This window comes from Homo sapiens, chromosome 16 (genome assembly GCF_000001405.40).
Source record: "Homo sapiens chromosome 16, GRCh38.p14 Primary Assembly".
Taxonomy (NCBI): domain Eukaryota; kingdom Metazoa; phylum Chordata; class Mammalia; order Primates; family Hominidae; genus Homo; species Homo sapiens.
This window is the reverse complement of record NC_000016.10, coordinates 20,635,522-20,652,472: the sequence shown is the minus strand read 5'-3', so window position 1 is coordinate 20,652,472 and position 16,951 is coordinate 20,635,522. Positions and strand designations below refer to the sequence as shown.

The 16,951-nt window shown below is 42.5% G+C and overlaps 1 protein-coding gene across 17 annotated transcripts in view, besides 2 other annotated features; it reads left to right on the top strand.

Annotated features, from left to right (window-relative positions):
- Positions 1-16,951, top strand: part of ACSM1 (acyl-CoA synthetase medium chain family member 1) — a 74,446-nt gene that overhangs the window by 45,208 nt on the left and 12,287 nt on the right. For 9 of the 17 annotated variants that reach the window (NM_001318890.3, NM_052956.3, XM_006721018.3 and 6 more), the window contains 3 exons: positions 11,889-12,012; positions 15,022-15,102; positions 15,633-15,734. The exons of 4 other annotated variants lie outside the window; for them this stretch is intronic. In NM_001318890.3, coding sequence (NP_001305819.1) covers positions 11,889-12,012; positions 15,022-15,102; positions 15,633-15,734 — 307 coding nt within the window. The remainder of the gene's footprint in view (positions 1-11,888; positions 12,013-15,021; positions 15,103-15,632; positions 15,735-16,951) is intronic. 4 more of the 17 variants (XM_006721016.4, XM_047433583.1, NR_134918.2 and 1 more) reach the window with 3 other exon arrangements.
- Positions 1,022-1,625: an enhancer, noted in NCBI's record as "NANOG hESC enhancer chr16:20662170-20662773 (GRCh37/hg19 assembly coordinates)". NCBI's record gives its function as "activates a minimal SCP1, AML or CMV promoter by ChIP-STARR-seq in naive H9 embryonic stem cells {active_cell/tissue: H9 hESC(naive)}" and the evidence as "EXISTENCE:reporter gene assay evidence [ECO:0000049][PMID:30033119]".
- Positions 4,264-4,828: an enhancer, noted in NCBI's record as "OCT4-NANOG hESC enhancer chr16:20658967-20659531 (GRCh37/hg19 assembly coordinates)". NCBI's record gives its function as "activates a minimal SCP1, AML or CMV promoter by ChIP-STARR-seq in primed H9 embryonic stem cells {active_cell/tissue: H9 hESC(primed)}" and the evidence as "EXISTENCE:reporter gene assay evidence [ECO:0000049][PMID:30033119]".

Sequence of the window (16,951 nt, the reverse complement as noted above, 5' to 3'; positions counted from 1 at the left end):
AAAATATCTTTTCTTTAAGACTTTTTAAATTTTTTTGTCAAAAATACCTCTTTATTTTTATAACTTTCTTTATATTGCTCTTATTTCCTGGTTTCCCTTGTTTCATATATAACCCTTAAATAAGGTTTTAATTAGACAAAGATATTTTACCTTAATAAGAATGTTAAAAAATTTCTTAAATTGGAAATTACCCAGAAACTTAATATCAAATAATAACCTTAAATCCTAAATTATGACAAGTGTGTTTACAAGCATTTATTCCATTACATGTACCTGATTAATTTAGTAGTTTACCTAGGTTATTTGCAAAAAATTGATAGCCAATATTTTAAGTTATTTTTCTATTAACGATTTTTATAGCTGTGAATTTGAGGTGTTTACTTAAGTAATAAAACTTATGGTTAGTTTTAAGGATATTTATACCAATAATTCAGTATTTAGCTGTTTTCATTTAAGCCAACAATATTTCATAAGCATATACAATCAAAGATCACTCTGTCTTGGGCTGGATTTTATAGTTTATAACACTTATGGCAAATTTTATAGTATTCTGTGGGAATAAACATGAAACCATTTGATCAATAGATGCAAAAAAAATTCTAACAATTCTAAAGACATTGCTGATATTATTTTACCAATAATTTTAAAGCTGGCTAGATACTTACTAAAATAAAATCTTATTTAGTAAAGATTTTACTTAAGTCACATGAACTTGAAAAAGCATTTGACTAGTTTTTTTTGTTTAGTATCTGATTTAAGCACTTTTTAAAGCCAATTAATTAGAGCTCTTCATATGTGTGTTTGTGTGTATATATATAGTATTTTATTTTATTTTATTTATTTGTTTTTTTGAGACAGTCTTGCTCAGTCAGGCAGGCTAGAGTGGCACAATCTCAGCTCACTGCAACCTCCGTCTCCCGGGCTTAAGCAGTTCTCCTGCCTCAGCCTCTGGAGTAGCTGGGATTGCAGGCATGTGCCACCATGCCCAGCTAATTTTTGTACTTTTAGTAGAGATGGGGATTCACTGTGTTGACCAAGCTGGTCTTGAAGTCCTGACCTCAGGTAATGTGCCCACCTCGGCCTCCTGAAGTGCTGGGATTGCAGGCATGAGCCACTGGGCCCAGCCTCTTCATATATTTTTAGTCATGAAAATATTGTATACACACACATAAATATATACATGTATTAGGCATGCTGGTAGAAGCACATCACATAGACTCATAAAGATCTTTTTGTTTTTGCCATTTAAAAAAATCTTACCCTAGGCAGTTGTCAGCTAAATCGTCTTAAATTTGCATATTAAAGGCAACTCAGGTGAAATCAGATAGCAAAATTTACATCATAAGGTATGAAGAGAAAGTCTGGTATGCTAGAGGGAAATTAATTCAACTGCCAATTGAACATAAAATTATAGAAGGCTTTAAATAGGCACACACATGCACACACACACAAAAAGTTCCCATAGCTATTACTTCAGTACTTTAGCCATGGGATAAATACAACTTTGCCAGCTTGCAAAAAGCGGTTAGATCCAAATGGTGGTTTTTATCTCAGTAGAAAAGTAACAGCAGCTTTAAAGCAGGCAGACAAGAAAATAGAAGCTATGTACTCTATAGTCTGCAGGTCGACCTTAGGAATCTTCTTCCTTAATGTAAATGTGCACAAAGACCATATTACTTCCATTTTATATAAACTCTGGCAAGTGGAGGTGCCATAAAACCTACAGAGTGCCCAAAAGAGGGTCATTCTCATTCTCCTTGTTTACTCCTTATTCTTAGATTTTGTTTCCTGCTTTTTTTTTTTTTCTTAAGAGGAGGAACTGAGCTGTAGCCTAGGGCTTTTGTGTGGTGGATCAGTGCATGCTGCTTGTGGGCAGGACTCCACCGTGTATCACTACAGAGTCCTTCCCACCTCCTAGGTGTCTGGGTTTCTCTCTCCAGAGGTCTATGACCTCTGAGAGGGCTCAAAATGCTGGGTAATCAGCCTTTATATGCACTTCCTGGATGAGCAATTTTAAATTAATTTTTGTTGGGGATTTCCCTGTAGGGCCGCTGCACGTTGTGGGGGGTCAAGCTCCCAGACACTCCCACGAGTCCCCTGATCACCCAGGGGCACCTTTTTGACTAGGAGAAGCAAATGACCTTTCTCTTTGGAGCAGAAAAACTCAGTCTCTCATTTATCTGTGAAAACGACACTTCAGTTCCTCATGCAAATGCACTGAGATGAACCAAATCAAGATAAATTTTAGCAGAAAATGCAGGAGAGAATTCCATTTAGAATGCATCTCGGAACTAGAATAAGGATCCTGAAACAACAACTACCTAGGAGAAAACCAACTCAGAATAAATCAAGGACTGTCAACCAAAGGGAAGTCTGGGGTTCAGGAGGACTTACCAGTTCCACCAGAGGAGAAGCTCAAAAGAATAGGCTTCAGTGGGCCCTGCTGGTACCTTAGCTCCAAGTTTGGGCAACTCCTTCAAGGTCCTGAGTCTTCTCTGAGGCCCCACGTGTTTGGGCACCAAACTATTGTTGACAAAGAGTGAATCTCTGTAAAATATGTTTAAAGATTTATTCTGAGCTAAATATGAGCGACCATGGCCTGTGACACAGCCCTCAGGAGGTCCTGAGAACATACGCCCAAGGTGGTCAGGATGCAGCTTGGTTTTGTATATTTGAGGGAGGCATGAGACATCAATCAAATACATTTAAGAAATACATTGGTTTGGTTCAGAAAGGCAGGACAACTCAAAGTGGGGGCTTCCGGGCTATAGGTAAATTTAAACATTTTCTCATTGACAATTGGTTAAGTTTATCTGAAGACCTGGGATCAAAGGAAAAGTTCAGGTTAAGATAAAGGTTTGTGGAGACCAAGTTTTATTGTGCAGAGGAATCTGTCAGATACCAGACATCAGAGAGAGAGAGAGAGAACAGGTTGTAAAATGCTTCTTACTGGATTTAAAAGAGTGCCTGGCTCTTAGTTTATTATCTCCTGGATCTGGAAAGGAAAGAAGGAAAACAAATGGGAAAGGGGATTCTCTATAGAATGTGGACTTTTCCCACAAGGGACTTTGCAGGGCAGTTTCAAGATATGGCAGAGAAATATGTTCAGGGGTAAAATATTTTGATTTTCTTCCTTGTCTCATAATGGTATGCCAGAGTCAGATTGGAAAGTAAGTCATGATATAAAGGGTTAAATAAAACCCATCTGATGAGAATTTATGGTTTGTAGGGCATGACTCCCTAGACCCTTTAGGTAGGAATTTGGGCAAGATTAAAATAAAATAAAATAAAATAAAACAGAGCTTTGTCCTCACTACCAACATTCTGTGAGGGCCATAGGCTCTTGGACCCCTAAAGGTTCACTATAAAATCACTGACATGAGCCAGATTGATTAACAGGAGAGAAAGATTGCAAATTTATTTAACATGTATACATGGGAGCCTTCAGAATGAAACCCCAACTTCTCGAGGATTTACAGAAATTTTCATACTACAAACCAATACTGAGATAAGTCTCAATCAATTTAGAGGTTATTTTGCCAAGGTTAAAGACATGCCTGTGACACAGCCTCAGCAGATCTTGAGAACATGTGCCCAAGGTGATTGGTCTACAGCTTGGTTTTATATTTTTAGGGAAACATAAGACATCAATTAATACACGTAAGGTGTATATTGGTTTGGTCCAGAAAGGTGGAACAACTCAAAGCAGAGGCTTCCAGGTCATAGAAGGATTTTCTGATTGGCAGTTGGTTGAGTTTATCTAAAGACCTGGAATCAATAAAAGAGAGGGTTAGGATAAAGGATTGTAGAAATAAAAGTTTTTATTATGCAGATGAAGCTTCCAGGTGCAGGCTTCAGAGATAATAAATTATCTTAAGGTCTCTGTTTTAATGTTAATGCTGGTTAGTTTTGCCTGAATTCCAAAGGAAGGAGGGTATAATGAGGTACATCCAACCACCCATTTCCATCATGGCCTGACCTCTTGTCTTAGGATAACTTTGGAATGCAATTGACTGAGAGGAGGGGTCCATTCTGTTGGCTGGGGCTGCTTAAAATTTCATTTTTGGTTTACATTACCATCCTGAGGCTACAGTAAAGAATGCAGACTGAGAGCATGGCCAGAAACAGGTTATGTTGGTAAATCAGGTTGAGTGGCAAGAAAGGTTAAGAGAGAGAGAAAAGAAGAATATTAGCTAGCAAAGCTGGCCTTGTTAGGTACATGAAGACTCCTTCAGAGAGAATAGATGGTAAATGTTTCTTTTCAGACTTTTAAAGTTGTCAGATTCTCAGTCTCTCCTGGATATGAGAAAGGCATAGAAATGTTGGGGTTATCAGGCCCAACACCAGGTGGTGGGGGTAATGAAGTCCGGCAGAGTCAAAGGATTGAGAAAAAGACAATTTGAGAAGTAAAGTGGGAGCAGGGGGCCATCGCGACTGTGGAGGCTGCAAAGTTCCTGAGCTCTGGGAGCCCATGCTATTTATTGGTAATCCAACAAAGGAACAGGTGGTGAGAATGAGGAGGTCAAAAGGGCAGGTGCATGATGAACAGCTGTGATAGTTTAGCATTTATAAGGAACGTGTTCTGCTACTTGTGATAATGGGAATACAATGGATCTAGGAGACTAGGAAGGCTAGAAGCAAGGAGCCAGAAAGTCTAGACACATTCCAGAGGACATTATGTCAGACATGCAAGCCCTGCCTCAGTTTTCTTCCCAATATTCAGCTTTTTCCCAACATGCCCCCTTTCTCTTTTTTGTAAAAGAGAAATGTCATTATTACTATCATTATTACTAGATATCGTAATTAGTAGCATAAAAGTTGGCCTCTTTTAATTGAGAAGGCAATTGCAGGCTGTGAAGGCTTGAATTGCCAGTTGGTCATCCAGCTTCATTTTTCTTAGCCCTTATTCAAACTGGAGTCACTCTGGTTTGAATGCTTCCCACATATCTCCCCTTTCCCTTTTACAAGAGGACCCTTAATCCTAGGGGTTACAGAAGGATGAAGGTCTATCTTCTGTAACTTCATGCTGAATAGAGGTGATGATATTCCTGCCTAACTATTAGGGTCTCTTGTATTCAGGTAGAAAAGAGCTGAGTCAGGACGCATTGGTCCATTAAGCATGCATGACTCTAGTCGGTCTTCATTCCTTCTTTGCATTCAGGTTCAGCTGGCTCATGGCTCATACTGGGCGAACCCGGTCCAAGGTTTTAATCCAAGTGTCCCTCCAGTCTCCCATTCCATGGTCATGCACATCTTGAGGGCATCCACATGGTTCATTTATCTCCTGCAAAAACACAAGCATACCCTCACCTCCATGTTAGTAAATCTACTGAAACAGAAGCAAAAACTTTTGTGTCTGTAGCCAGGAGGCCACTGATAATGAGAAACAGGCACCTTCTAACAGAAGGCAGAGGGAAAGGAAATTGAGGCTTTTCAAACCTTCAGTTTGGGTCCACTATATGCTGTGGCTCATGATAGATCTTCAGATGTTTGGTGGGCACCCACATAGGCACCTGATTGTCACCTGGAGAGACACAAGCAAATGCTCTTCCCCATAAAATTATCTTTAGGCAGGAATTGGAGGAAGTATATTCAGAGGTAAGGAGAATTTTGGGGCCTAATGGCTTCCTGATGTTTGATAGGTGTTCCCTCAGAAGTTAGGAATTCCCTTTCTCTCCATATTGCTGTGTGGGCATGGAGGACTAGGTAAGCATAGTTAGAGTCTGTATATATATTTACCCTTTTTCCTTCTCCTAATTCTAGTGTATAATGGCCCCTGCTTTTGCTAGGATGTCTCTCCCTAACAAAGGAGTGGGGCTTTCAGGCATAATTAGAAAGACATGTGAAAAGAGTAAAGTTCCCCAGTCACAACTTAGTGGCTGGGAGAAGTATCTAGTGACTGTCTGTTCTTGGACCCCTTGGATAGTGACAGATCTGGAGGACAGTTGTCTGGGACAGGAGGGTAAGACTGAGAAGGCCGTGCCAGTGTCCAGGAGACAGTTAACCCCCTGGCCCTCAATGGTCAAGCATACCTAGGGAGGGTGATGGCATGGGCTGGCATTTGCCCTGGGCACCCTCAGTCCTGCTGCTGGATCATCTGGTTAGTGGCTTCTGACTCAGATGACCTTCGTCCCCTCGGGCAGTGGGCCTTCCAGTCATTCCCTTGACATAAGGGGCATGGACAAGGGGGTGGCTTATTTCTATTCAGACAATCTTTTTAAAAGTGTCCTTGTAGACTGCACTGGAAGCAGGCCCTATTAGGCATTTGATTTGCCCAGCCTTTTCCTTTTTCAGAGCCTCCAAAGTTCACTTGCCTGAAGGCTGTGACTAAAGTGGTGTTTTTTTTTCATTTTTAATCCTGTTTGTTCCATTCCACCTGCTACTCCTGATCTCTATTATAAAAAACTGAGGTTGCCAAGTTCAATAGGGTTTCTAAGTTTTGCTCCAGGCCTAAGGCAGACTTTTGAAGTTTTTCTAATGTCTGCAGCTGACTGAGTGATAAACTTATCCTTTAAGATTAGTTAGCCTTCAGTAGAGTCAGGTGACAGAGAGGTATGCTTCCTCAATGCCTCCCTTTGTCTCTCCAGAAGAGCAGTAGGATTTTCTTCCTTTCCTTGTATTATAGTGGACATCATTGAATAATTCATAGCCTTCTTCCTAGTTTTCCTTAGTCCTTCCAGCATGCAAGTTAGCAAATGTCTGCAGCACCAATCTCCATGTTCTGATTCTGCGTCCCAATGAGGGTCTACACTGGGAACTGCCTGCTGGCCTGTGGGGAATTGTTCTCTTTCCTCTGTTGTCATCCTATCATTGACCTGACTGAGATACCAGAGATCACCAAACTCTCAGGCTGCAGTAATGGCGGCACTTCTCTCATTTGGAGTTAGTGTCTGATTTAGCAGTAATATTATATCTATCCATGTGAGATCAAATAATTGTCCCAACCCTCGTAAAACATCAATGTAGCCATCAGGGTTATCTGAGAATTTAGCTAGGTCTATTTTAATTTGTTTCAAGTCTGAGAGGGAAAAAGGTACATACACTCTGACTGGCCTGAATTCTCCAGAATACATCTTAGGGGTGTTTTTGCCTTGGGGGGAACGTTTCCCATCTGAAAAAAGAACATAGGGATGACAGCACCCCTAGTCATTTTCTGATGAGTATTAGTCCTAGAGCATCCTCTATAGTCCTAATACTTCTTCCTTTCCAGGGTGCATAACCACCCATGGACCTCTGCTTATCAGATTAGTTATGCTCACCAATGTAGCAGTCCTGCACCTGTTTTCCCACCTTTCTTGACCACAAAGAAAGGGGTATGGGCTGCTGGATTCTAGTGGTCCTTTACCAGCTTACCCAACATTGCCTTTGCACTCAGAGGTGAGTTCTAGAGCTGGGCTAGGTTCCTGAGTATTTCATAACAACCCAGCTTCCCCATCAAGATGCACTCCCATAAACAACTGTTCTTATGCAAATTCATTTCAGAGAGGATGTAGGCAATGTTTTGAGTCAGGATTGAGATAGAGTAATTTATTTATTTATATTTTGAAGATAACCACTTTTCCAAAGGGAACTTCCTTTATGTCTATGGACTAGACATAAGGAAGGCCACAAGACTAGAAGTTAGGATAATACATGTTACACCGTTAACTTTTAGCAAATTTTACTTTTGTTTAAACCCTTGTAAGTTTGGGATTTCCATTATCTTTTGCTGTCTATAAGACCTTGTTTAGTCTAAACTAACTTAGAATTGGTATAGATGGTTCCTTCCTGGCTTTGTACTTTAAGGCTTGGCTGAGTACAAACAGCTCACATGTTTGAGCAGACCAATTATTAGGCAATTTTTCTAACTCTGCTTCTACAAGAGTTTCCCTATCAATTACTGAATACCCATTATGTGTGTGTGTGTGTGTGTGTGTGTGTGTGTGTGTGTGTGTTCCTCAATCACATGGGAGGAGCCATCTATTGTCCTGTCTTGAATGGAGTTCCTCCTAGGTCTTGTCGGTCCTCTGTATGTAATTAAGATTTAAATCCCTTGTTAAGAAATCTGCTGGGTTAAGGGAATTTTCAGTGGTTAATGTTAAATCACCTTTTCCTCACAGAATGGCCCCATACTTTAAGATTTTTAAGTTAGTAAGCTACGCTTTTGCTTTTCTCTTCCTTAGGGTAGCTCTGAACTGGTGAGGTGTGCTCACAATTAGGTTTCTTCTAAGTTATTTTTCTACTTTCTTCTGCTAGCGAAGCAGTTGCTGCTACAGATTGAATGCATTTGGGCCATCTGTGGGTTACTTGGTTAGGATTTTTGATAGAAAGGCTGCTGGCTGTCAGTGGTCTTGAGAGTTGAAGCCAACTGGGCTTCTGGGTCAGGTGGGGACTTGGAGAACTTTTGTGTCTAGCTAAAGGATTGTAAATGCACCAATTAGTGCTCTGGGTCTAGCTAAAGGACTGTAAATGCACCAATCAGCACTCTGTAAAAAAACACCAATCAGCACTCTGTGTCTAGCTAAAAGATTGTCAAAGCACCAATCAGCACTCTGTAAAAATGCACCAATCAGTGCTCTGTGTCTAGATAAAGGACTGTAAATTCACCAATCAGCACTTTGTAAAAACACACCAATCAGCGCTCTGTGTCTAGATAAAGGATTGTAAATGCACCAGTCAGCACTCTGTAAAAATGCACCAATCAGCACTTTCTGTCTAGCTAAAGGATTGTAAATGCACCAATCAGCACTCTGTAAAATGGAGCAATCAGCAGCATGTGGGCAGGGCCAAATAAGGGAATAAAAGCTGGCCACCAGAGCCAGCAGTGGCAACCTGCTTGGGTCCCCTTCCCTGCTGTGGAAGCTTTGGGCTTTCACTCTTCACAATAAATCTTACAGCTGCTCACTCTTTGGGTCTGCACTACCTTTATGAGCTGTAACACTCACCACGAGGGTCTGCAGCTTCATTCCTGAAGTCAGTGAGACCATGAACCCACTGGGAGGAACAAACTCTGGACACACCACTTTTAAGAGCTGTAACACCCACTGCAAGGGTCCACGGCTTCATTCTTGAAGTCAGCGAGACCAAGAACCCACTGGAAGGAATAAATTCCAGACACAGTTTGGCAACCACAAAGGGACTATCACCTATCGCCAAGTGGTGAGCACCATCGGACCCATTTCACTTGCTATTCCTTCCTATTTTTCCTTAGAATTCGGGGCTAAATACCAGGCACCTGCCAGCGAGTTAAAAGCAACTAGGGCGGCTGCCAGACTAAAGACATGGGTGTCAGGCTTTCTGGAAAAGGGCTCTCTAACAACCCCCAACTCTTCAGAGTTGGGAACATTGGTTTGCCTGGAACCAGCTTCCACTTTTCCTGTACTTCTGGGCTGAGCCAAGGGTCAACAGAGAGGAAAGCCATTAGCTCCAGGGTTTGACAACAAGTTGGTTGACCCTGGGGCCATGAGCAGAACTCTCAAAGTGAAGTGCTTTCAGATTACGCCCTTGTTTACACTGACAACAAGGCAGTATTGAGTGTTATAGGGTCATGGAGAATACCTTCAATTATCAATTATAGGTTTTAAATTTACCCTGGTTTTAAAGGAATAGGGCACACTGCTTTTTCTTTAACTACTTGTATATCTCTTTCTTTCTCCTTTGTAGGTGGATTTTGGAAACACAGTGGAAGGATTTTTACTTGTTGCCCCCATTTGCCACTATAGGAATATGTGCCTCCCTTTAACTTACTCAATTCATTTTCATCTTGATCTATTACGTTGTCATAGACCCAGTTCCAGTTGTTAAAGTACTGGGTTATCAGTTCTAAGGCCCTGGCCAAGGAGTCAAGGCTTGGAGATTGTATTGCACGGGGGATAAGCTGGGTAGAAATTGGGGAGGAGAGCATCTTAAAAGGAAATGTGGTCCAATTAGCTATATTCTGTCCTCCCTGCTGGATTATAGTTATGGGAAATTGCCATGCTTCAAGGTCTCCCTTGGCTCTAGCCTTCTGAATAGAATTTTGTATACCACCACCAATTGCTCCAGGTTTTAAAGTTGCAACTACAGGAGCAGTAAGTTTTGTAGCTAATTCATCTTCTCACCCATTAAGAGGAGAGAGAGGATGTGGCTCTTCACTTAATTCAGCACGTGGGGCTGATGGGTTAGTAAAACATGCTTTTTTCAGTTTCCCTTTCTTTTCTTTAATTTCCTCCCTTTCCTGTTCCTCACATTCAAAATCTGAGGTTAGTTTTTTACACTTGTCCTCCTCTTCCTCATCTAAATCTGCCTCATCATCTGTTTAAAATGGCTCAAGAGTTGCTTTTATTAGTGCCCACGTTGACCAAACCAAGACTTTAATTTTTGCTCCATCTTTATATACTTTTTAAAAATCTCTGTCAATTTCTCTCCCATTCATCCAACTCCATAGTCCCTTGTTCCAGAAACCATGGGCAAAAGTGCTTCACTGCACTAAAGAGTGATAACAAATTCTGAGTACTAACTTTCACTCCCACTCTTCGTAATACATGTCTTAGGATATTTAAATAAGCAGAATGTCTGCTTTCACTTTGTCCCATTGTTACCCTGATTCTTCCGAGCACTCCACTTTCCCACCGAGCTTCTTTTACACGTTCTTGGGTGTCCCTTGATGATGTGTCCTCTGCTTTCACATGATCTAGAGTTCCTTCACCAGGGTCTTCATCACCCCACATTGGGCACCCAGGAATGTTGGGCTGATCAGGCCCAACACCAGGTTGTGGGGGCAATGAAGTCTGGCAGAGCCAAAGGATTGAGAAAAAGACAGTTTGAGAAGTAAAGTGGGACCAGGGGGCCATCAAGACTGTGGAGGCTGTGAAGGCCCCGAGCCCTGGGAGCCCATGCTATTTATTGGTAATCCAACAAAGAAACAGGTGGTGAGAATGAGGAGGTCAAAAGATCAGGTGCATGATGAACACCTGTGATGGTATAGCATTTATAAGGAGCATGTTCTGCTACTTTAGATAATGGGAATACAATCAATCTAGGAGCCTAGGAAGGCTAGAAGCAAGGAGCCAGCAAGTCTAGACACATTCCAGAGGACATTACACCAGACGTGCAAGCCCTGCCTCAGCTTTCTTCCCAACACTCAGCTTTTTCCCTACAAAAAGAGGGCAGGGCATGGCTGCATTAATAGATATTCTCTATAGATGTACACTTCCCCCCATAAAAGATGGCTTTGCAAGGCCACCTCTATTAGCTAGCCAAATGGCAGCCATTTCAAAATATGTCAAAGAAATATATTTTGGGGTAAAATATTTTATTTTTTCCTGTTCACATCAGCCTTTTCTGTTTTCTCTGAAATTCCTTCTGTCAGGGCTGTACCCTGTAATGCTTCTCCCTCTCTCTTTCCCTACTCAGCTTAATCTGCTCTGATGTCCTGAGCAATTCACTTCCAATCCCTAACATGCATTCCCCATTCAGAAATACAAAAGCCCTTTAGTTAGCGTAGTGTAAGCTCCATAAAAGAATGTATAGTTCTATTATCACCCTAGCATGTCCTTAAGATCTCATCCTTTACCCCATTATGATTATAAAAATGTCCTTCTTAGCTATACAGAATGCTTCCCCAAGAGGAGTTCTGATAAACACACAGTTCTCCCTCTTGTTACACTGATATCCAAATTTAATCCAAACATTCCCAATTGAACACAATAGCCTCACCACCACCCATCCACCGTCTGCCAGAATAGTTCGCAGGGACTGGCAGGAAGTGAGTGACATCCACTTGGCCATGGCCAACTGTAAAATGACCAAAAAGTAAATAAGAAAGTGAGGAACTAGAAGGATGAATGATCTGGGTGACAGACTTAAGAGCTCTGAATGCACAGAGCCAGGGTGGCTCACCAATGCCTGGCACCTTGTCTTCCTCTAAGCATCAGGTTCCCTGCCCTGGAGCACTGCTATACTGGCGGGGAGGTCGTGTTGCCCAAGGATCAGGAGGAGTGGAAAAGACGGACGGGCCTTCTGCTCTACGAGAACTATGGGCAGTCGGAAACGGTAGGTGGTGCAAACCAGAAAGTGTCTGAGACAGGTCTCAATTAATTTAAAAGATTATTTTGCTAAGGTTAATGACACGCATCTGGGAAACAGGTTTGTGCCTTTCCCCAAAGATGATTTTGAGGGCTTCAATATTTAAAGGAGAAAAGGCAGATATTGGGGAAAAAGGAAGAAATTTTCTAAAGGTGGGGTAGTTACGAGGCAAATTGTTGCCTTCTTGTGAGTCTTTGATCAGCTGTTTACATGTGAGAGAAGGGTAGAGGAAGAGTCACTTGTGCATTCATCTAGATCAGTGAATCTGCATTTTTACATAAGATAAACGTAAGTCAGAGAAAGCAACTAGGTACATATTTGTCTCAGGTGAGCAGAGAGATGATTTTTGAGTTCTGTTCTTTGTCCTATACGTGTGAAGATGAGCTATAAATGTCAGGGTGAAATTTAGCAGAACTGTTTGACAGTAACGATCTTGGGGCCCACAAGGAATTTCTTAGTGGGAAAATTGTGGCGGAGGCATGTAGTTTTGTTTTGTTTTTTATCTTTTTAGCTCTTGTTTAGGAATAAAATGAGAGGCAGGTTTGACTGATGCAGTTCCCAACTTGAGTTTTCCCTTTGGCTTAGTGATTTTGGGGTTTGTTTTCCTTTCATAGTGGAAAGGTCCCTTCTGGATAGTCATGATGTGCTCAGCGATTGAGCCCAGCAGATGTGCTGAATTATGCCACATGTGCGGGACACAGCCCCATCGCATGCACAGCATTGTTTGATGCCAACCAGAGGCTCTAGAGTTCTAGGCTAATTTGTCCCAAATCTATCTGCAGAAAGAAAATGTACAACTCGTCATCTTACCAAGGGACTAATGTGCTTAAAACTCTTGGACAAAACCTTAAAAAGGGGTCTAAGGGCGTTTTCACACTGTCCCTGTTATCATCAGCTCAGAGGATCCCCAGAGGGTGGGTGGGATAGGAGACTCTCTCCAGCAACATGGAGACCACCTCCTCCAGGAAGTCCTGTCAACTCCACTAACCCTCCCTAGGGCTGCAGAGGCAGGAGGAAGCTGGCTCAAAAAGTGCATTGCTTGGGGTTTAGGAGGACAACTCGCAGGTTTGACTGTGGGATACTAGCAGGGTGGGTGAGGAGCAGGGACTTTCTGTATATGCCAAACACATGTACACACAAACAGTGTCATTCCAGAGTATCACTGAGCTGCCAGGTGAGTGGGGCATTTGGAGTACTATGCATGTCTGGAAGTTCAAGGACCTCATCAATTACAGTGTGGGTGAGCATCTCTTCCAACATATTTGCAATCCATTTCCAATGCTGGACAGAGCCACTTTCTCCCTCTGTCTCCATTATCCCTCTAGCACATAAAGGATGACTGCTATCCCAGGCCCTGTGCAAAATTATTACTTTAGTGCCAACTCACATACTCAGCTGACATTATTTTGTAAAAAATATATAGCAATTCAGTTAATTTGTCTGCTTCCAGACCTGAAAAATGCTGACACTTCGGGCCTATGTTTGAATGGCTCACAGGTCATATTTGGACAAGGAGGAGGGTGGGCCAGGAAGACACACTCCACCCACGACTCCAATATTTGCAGCACTAGGTGGTGCTTAATTTCTGAAAACACTTTCACATCTGTTCACTCATGTGTGCAACGTTTTTCACATGCCTACAGTGTGAGCAGTGATGTGGCAGTGGGCAAAGATCTTCCTATCCCAGGAGCACAGACCTGGGTCCAAGTCTCAGCTCTGCCAATTACAGCTTGAAGACCATAAGGATATTATGTATGCTTTCTCACCTCAGCTCCCCCACCTTTAAATGGAAATTATAATGCCAATCTTAACAGATTGTGATAAGGTAAATAAAAAGAAGTATATAATGCTCTGGCTGGTGTCCCGCCTGTTGTATATGCTCACCTTGCAGCTGCTGTGGTCCTTGCTATTTTTGGTGGCTATTGTTCCAGATTTTGGAAGCTCAGGGATAAATAGGGCAGTCTCTATTCTTGGGATGCTCATTATCTACTGAAGGAAACAGACAAACAAAAATAATTATAATGCCCTGTGGGCTGCAATGGAAGTATAGGAGAAATGCTGCAGAAAGAGAATCTTTCCCTTGACTTCTCTTGTAGCTTGAGTAATAGCCAGTAGTCATCATTCATTGAACACGTGGTGTGTGCCTTGTATTATGCAGAATTTTCCATATGCTTACAAGCACTCTGGGAGGTAAGTGTTATCATTATTACCCTTTGATGGAGGAGATCAAGAGGGATTCATTGGCATGCATTTAGTGTGTGGTGGAGTCAAGGGTCAAACCCTCATTGGTCTGAATGTAAAGCACGCAGCTACAGAAATAAATATATTTGTGAGAACAATAAAGGAGGAATCAAGTTCATCAGGAAGAAAGATGAAGATAGGGCAGTGCTAACAGAGAGAACAGCACAAGCAATCCAGACAACCTCCACACACACTGGGGCATCCTGCAGGGTGAGATTCACAGGCCTCTTCCTACGGATCACTGATGACAAAGGCAACATTCTGCCACCCAACACAGGGGGAAAAGTTGGCATCAGGATCAGTCAAGAAGTTGTGGCAGAATCCCTATCACTGCTCAACAGCCCCAAGTAAATGTTTGTTAGATAGACTAGTGGTCTTCCCCTAGCAAACTGACACATGCCTGTTCAATGGTGGGCATGCCACACCCCACATTATATGCCCACAGCCAGGGGAATACCCTGTTTCTTCTTTCTTTGTTTCCCCATTGGATTCTGTAGACTCCACTTAGTACAGAGCCAGACCACACTGGCTGCAGAAAATGACTGTGGAATAGAGTTGGGTCAACACCTTGAGCCTAGACTAAGGCCTTCCAGCTTCCCTACGAGGGCTCTTTGGGCAGCATCCATTGAGAGGAATACTACATCTCTGAGCAGAGGATGCTGTGTATGATTCTGACTGCTTTGTGATCAGCCTGGCCTCTCTGATCAACCCAAATCTTCTTTCTTTTGTGAACAGGGACTAATTTGTGCCACCTACTGGGGAATGAAGATCAAGCCGGGTTTCATGGGGAAGGCCACTCCACCCTACGACGTCCAGGTCTGGTCCTAAGGGCATTGGCAGGGAGCAGTTAGGGCTCAGCGGGGGTTGGACAATTTGACACCAGGTGACAACACCAGCCGCACTTCCCTGCTCCAGTCATCCTTCCTCCTCTCTTCTCATTTATCCCTTCAGTTTCATATGGAGGCCTCAGTTGAAAACTGCATTATTGTGAGCATGAACACCGCTGACCCTGGCAGCCAGGGCATCACACACAGTAGGTAGGAAAGAATACCTAGAGGCTGCACTGGGAGCCCTCTCTAGCAAGTGGTGCTTTTCATTTTTTTTGATCACTGTTTTCCAACTTGAAGACACATTGGTGACATCTACTAACTCATGAAACATAGACCCTTGGCTTGAGTTTCACATTTGCGTATTTTAAAGGCTTTTGACAGTTTTATTCCATTTTCTGATGTTTCCTCTGTTATTTCATCCACACTGGTGTCCCATGCATAAACCAGACAGTGCTTGGGTGGGGCAGAAGGGCTGCGGCCTCCTGCAGTGTATGATTCACAGGCCTCTTGCTACAGGTCATTGATGACAAGGGCAGCATCCTGCCACCTAACACAGAAGGAAACATTGGCATCAGAATCAAACCTGTCAGGCCTGTGAGCCTCTTCATGTGCTATGAGGTAATGACCCCCCATCTGCCCCCATCCTGGCCCCAAGGATCCCAACAGGGAGCTCTGCATCCTGAGGCTTCTTCAAGTCCTCTTTTATTTGCTCTAACTCAATGAAATGAATGAGTTTTCATTCAACTCGAAGCTCACCGTGCATTCTCCCATCCTTTCCTGTCTGAACCCACCTGGAACTTTTGGGATGTTGGGGTAGAATGAAGACTGGCTTCAGAACCATCAGACTTGGGTTTCAATGATCTACTGTAGTCAAGAATATAGGCTTTGACTGGATTCAAATAATACCATCTCACTTACCAACAACAGAGTGTAAACAAATCACTTATCCTCGCTGAGCCTCCAGGGAACTCTATTATCCCATTTTACAGAGAGAAAAGCTGCAGATTAAAAGCCCTGCACATCTTCTGCACATCAAATAAATGGTAGGTTTAGGATTAAAAAAAAGTAAAAACCAGAGATTATAGAAAACTGAGATGGATTACAAGGAAACCTGCTGAAACTCCTGATCAAATAAGCAATGGCCCTCCCAGGATAGGAATGGCCACAAAGAGGAAAATCTTAGCTCCCAATATTGGCCATGGAAGGATGACCAGACCCTGAAATTGATTTCAGACTTCATCTCCTTTCTCTAAAGACACTTTCATTGGCGGCTGTCCTGGTGTCACTGCCATCCTCACACTGTGGTTTCAAGGGAGCGATGGTTCCTTTGTGATACTTTTGACCAAAGGGGAACATACAGGCCTTACTTAGCATTAATTCTCAGCAACACAACTTAAAGATTGGATAAAAGAAAATTAGGCAGGGTGGGGTGGCTCACACTTGTAATCCCAGCACTTTGGGAAGCCTAGGTGGGTGGATCACGAGGTCAGGAGTTCGAAACCAGCCTGGTTGACACAGTGAAACCCCATCTCCACTAAAAATACAAAAGATTAGCTGGGCATGGTGGCATGCACCTGTAATTTCAGCTACTTGGGAAGCTGAGGCAGGAGAATCACTTAAACCCGGGAGGCGGAGGTTGCAGTGAACCAAGATCGCACCACTGCACTCCAGCCTGTGTGACAGAGCTAGACACCATCTCAAAATGAAAGAAAGAAAGAAAGAAAGAAAGAAAGAAAGAAAGAAAGAAAGAAAGAAAGAAAGAAAGAAAGAAAGAAAAAGAAAAATTAAACATGGGGTAACACATATATTTTATATAATGTCCAGGCATCTTTGAG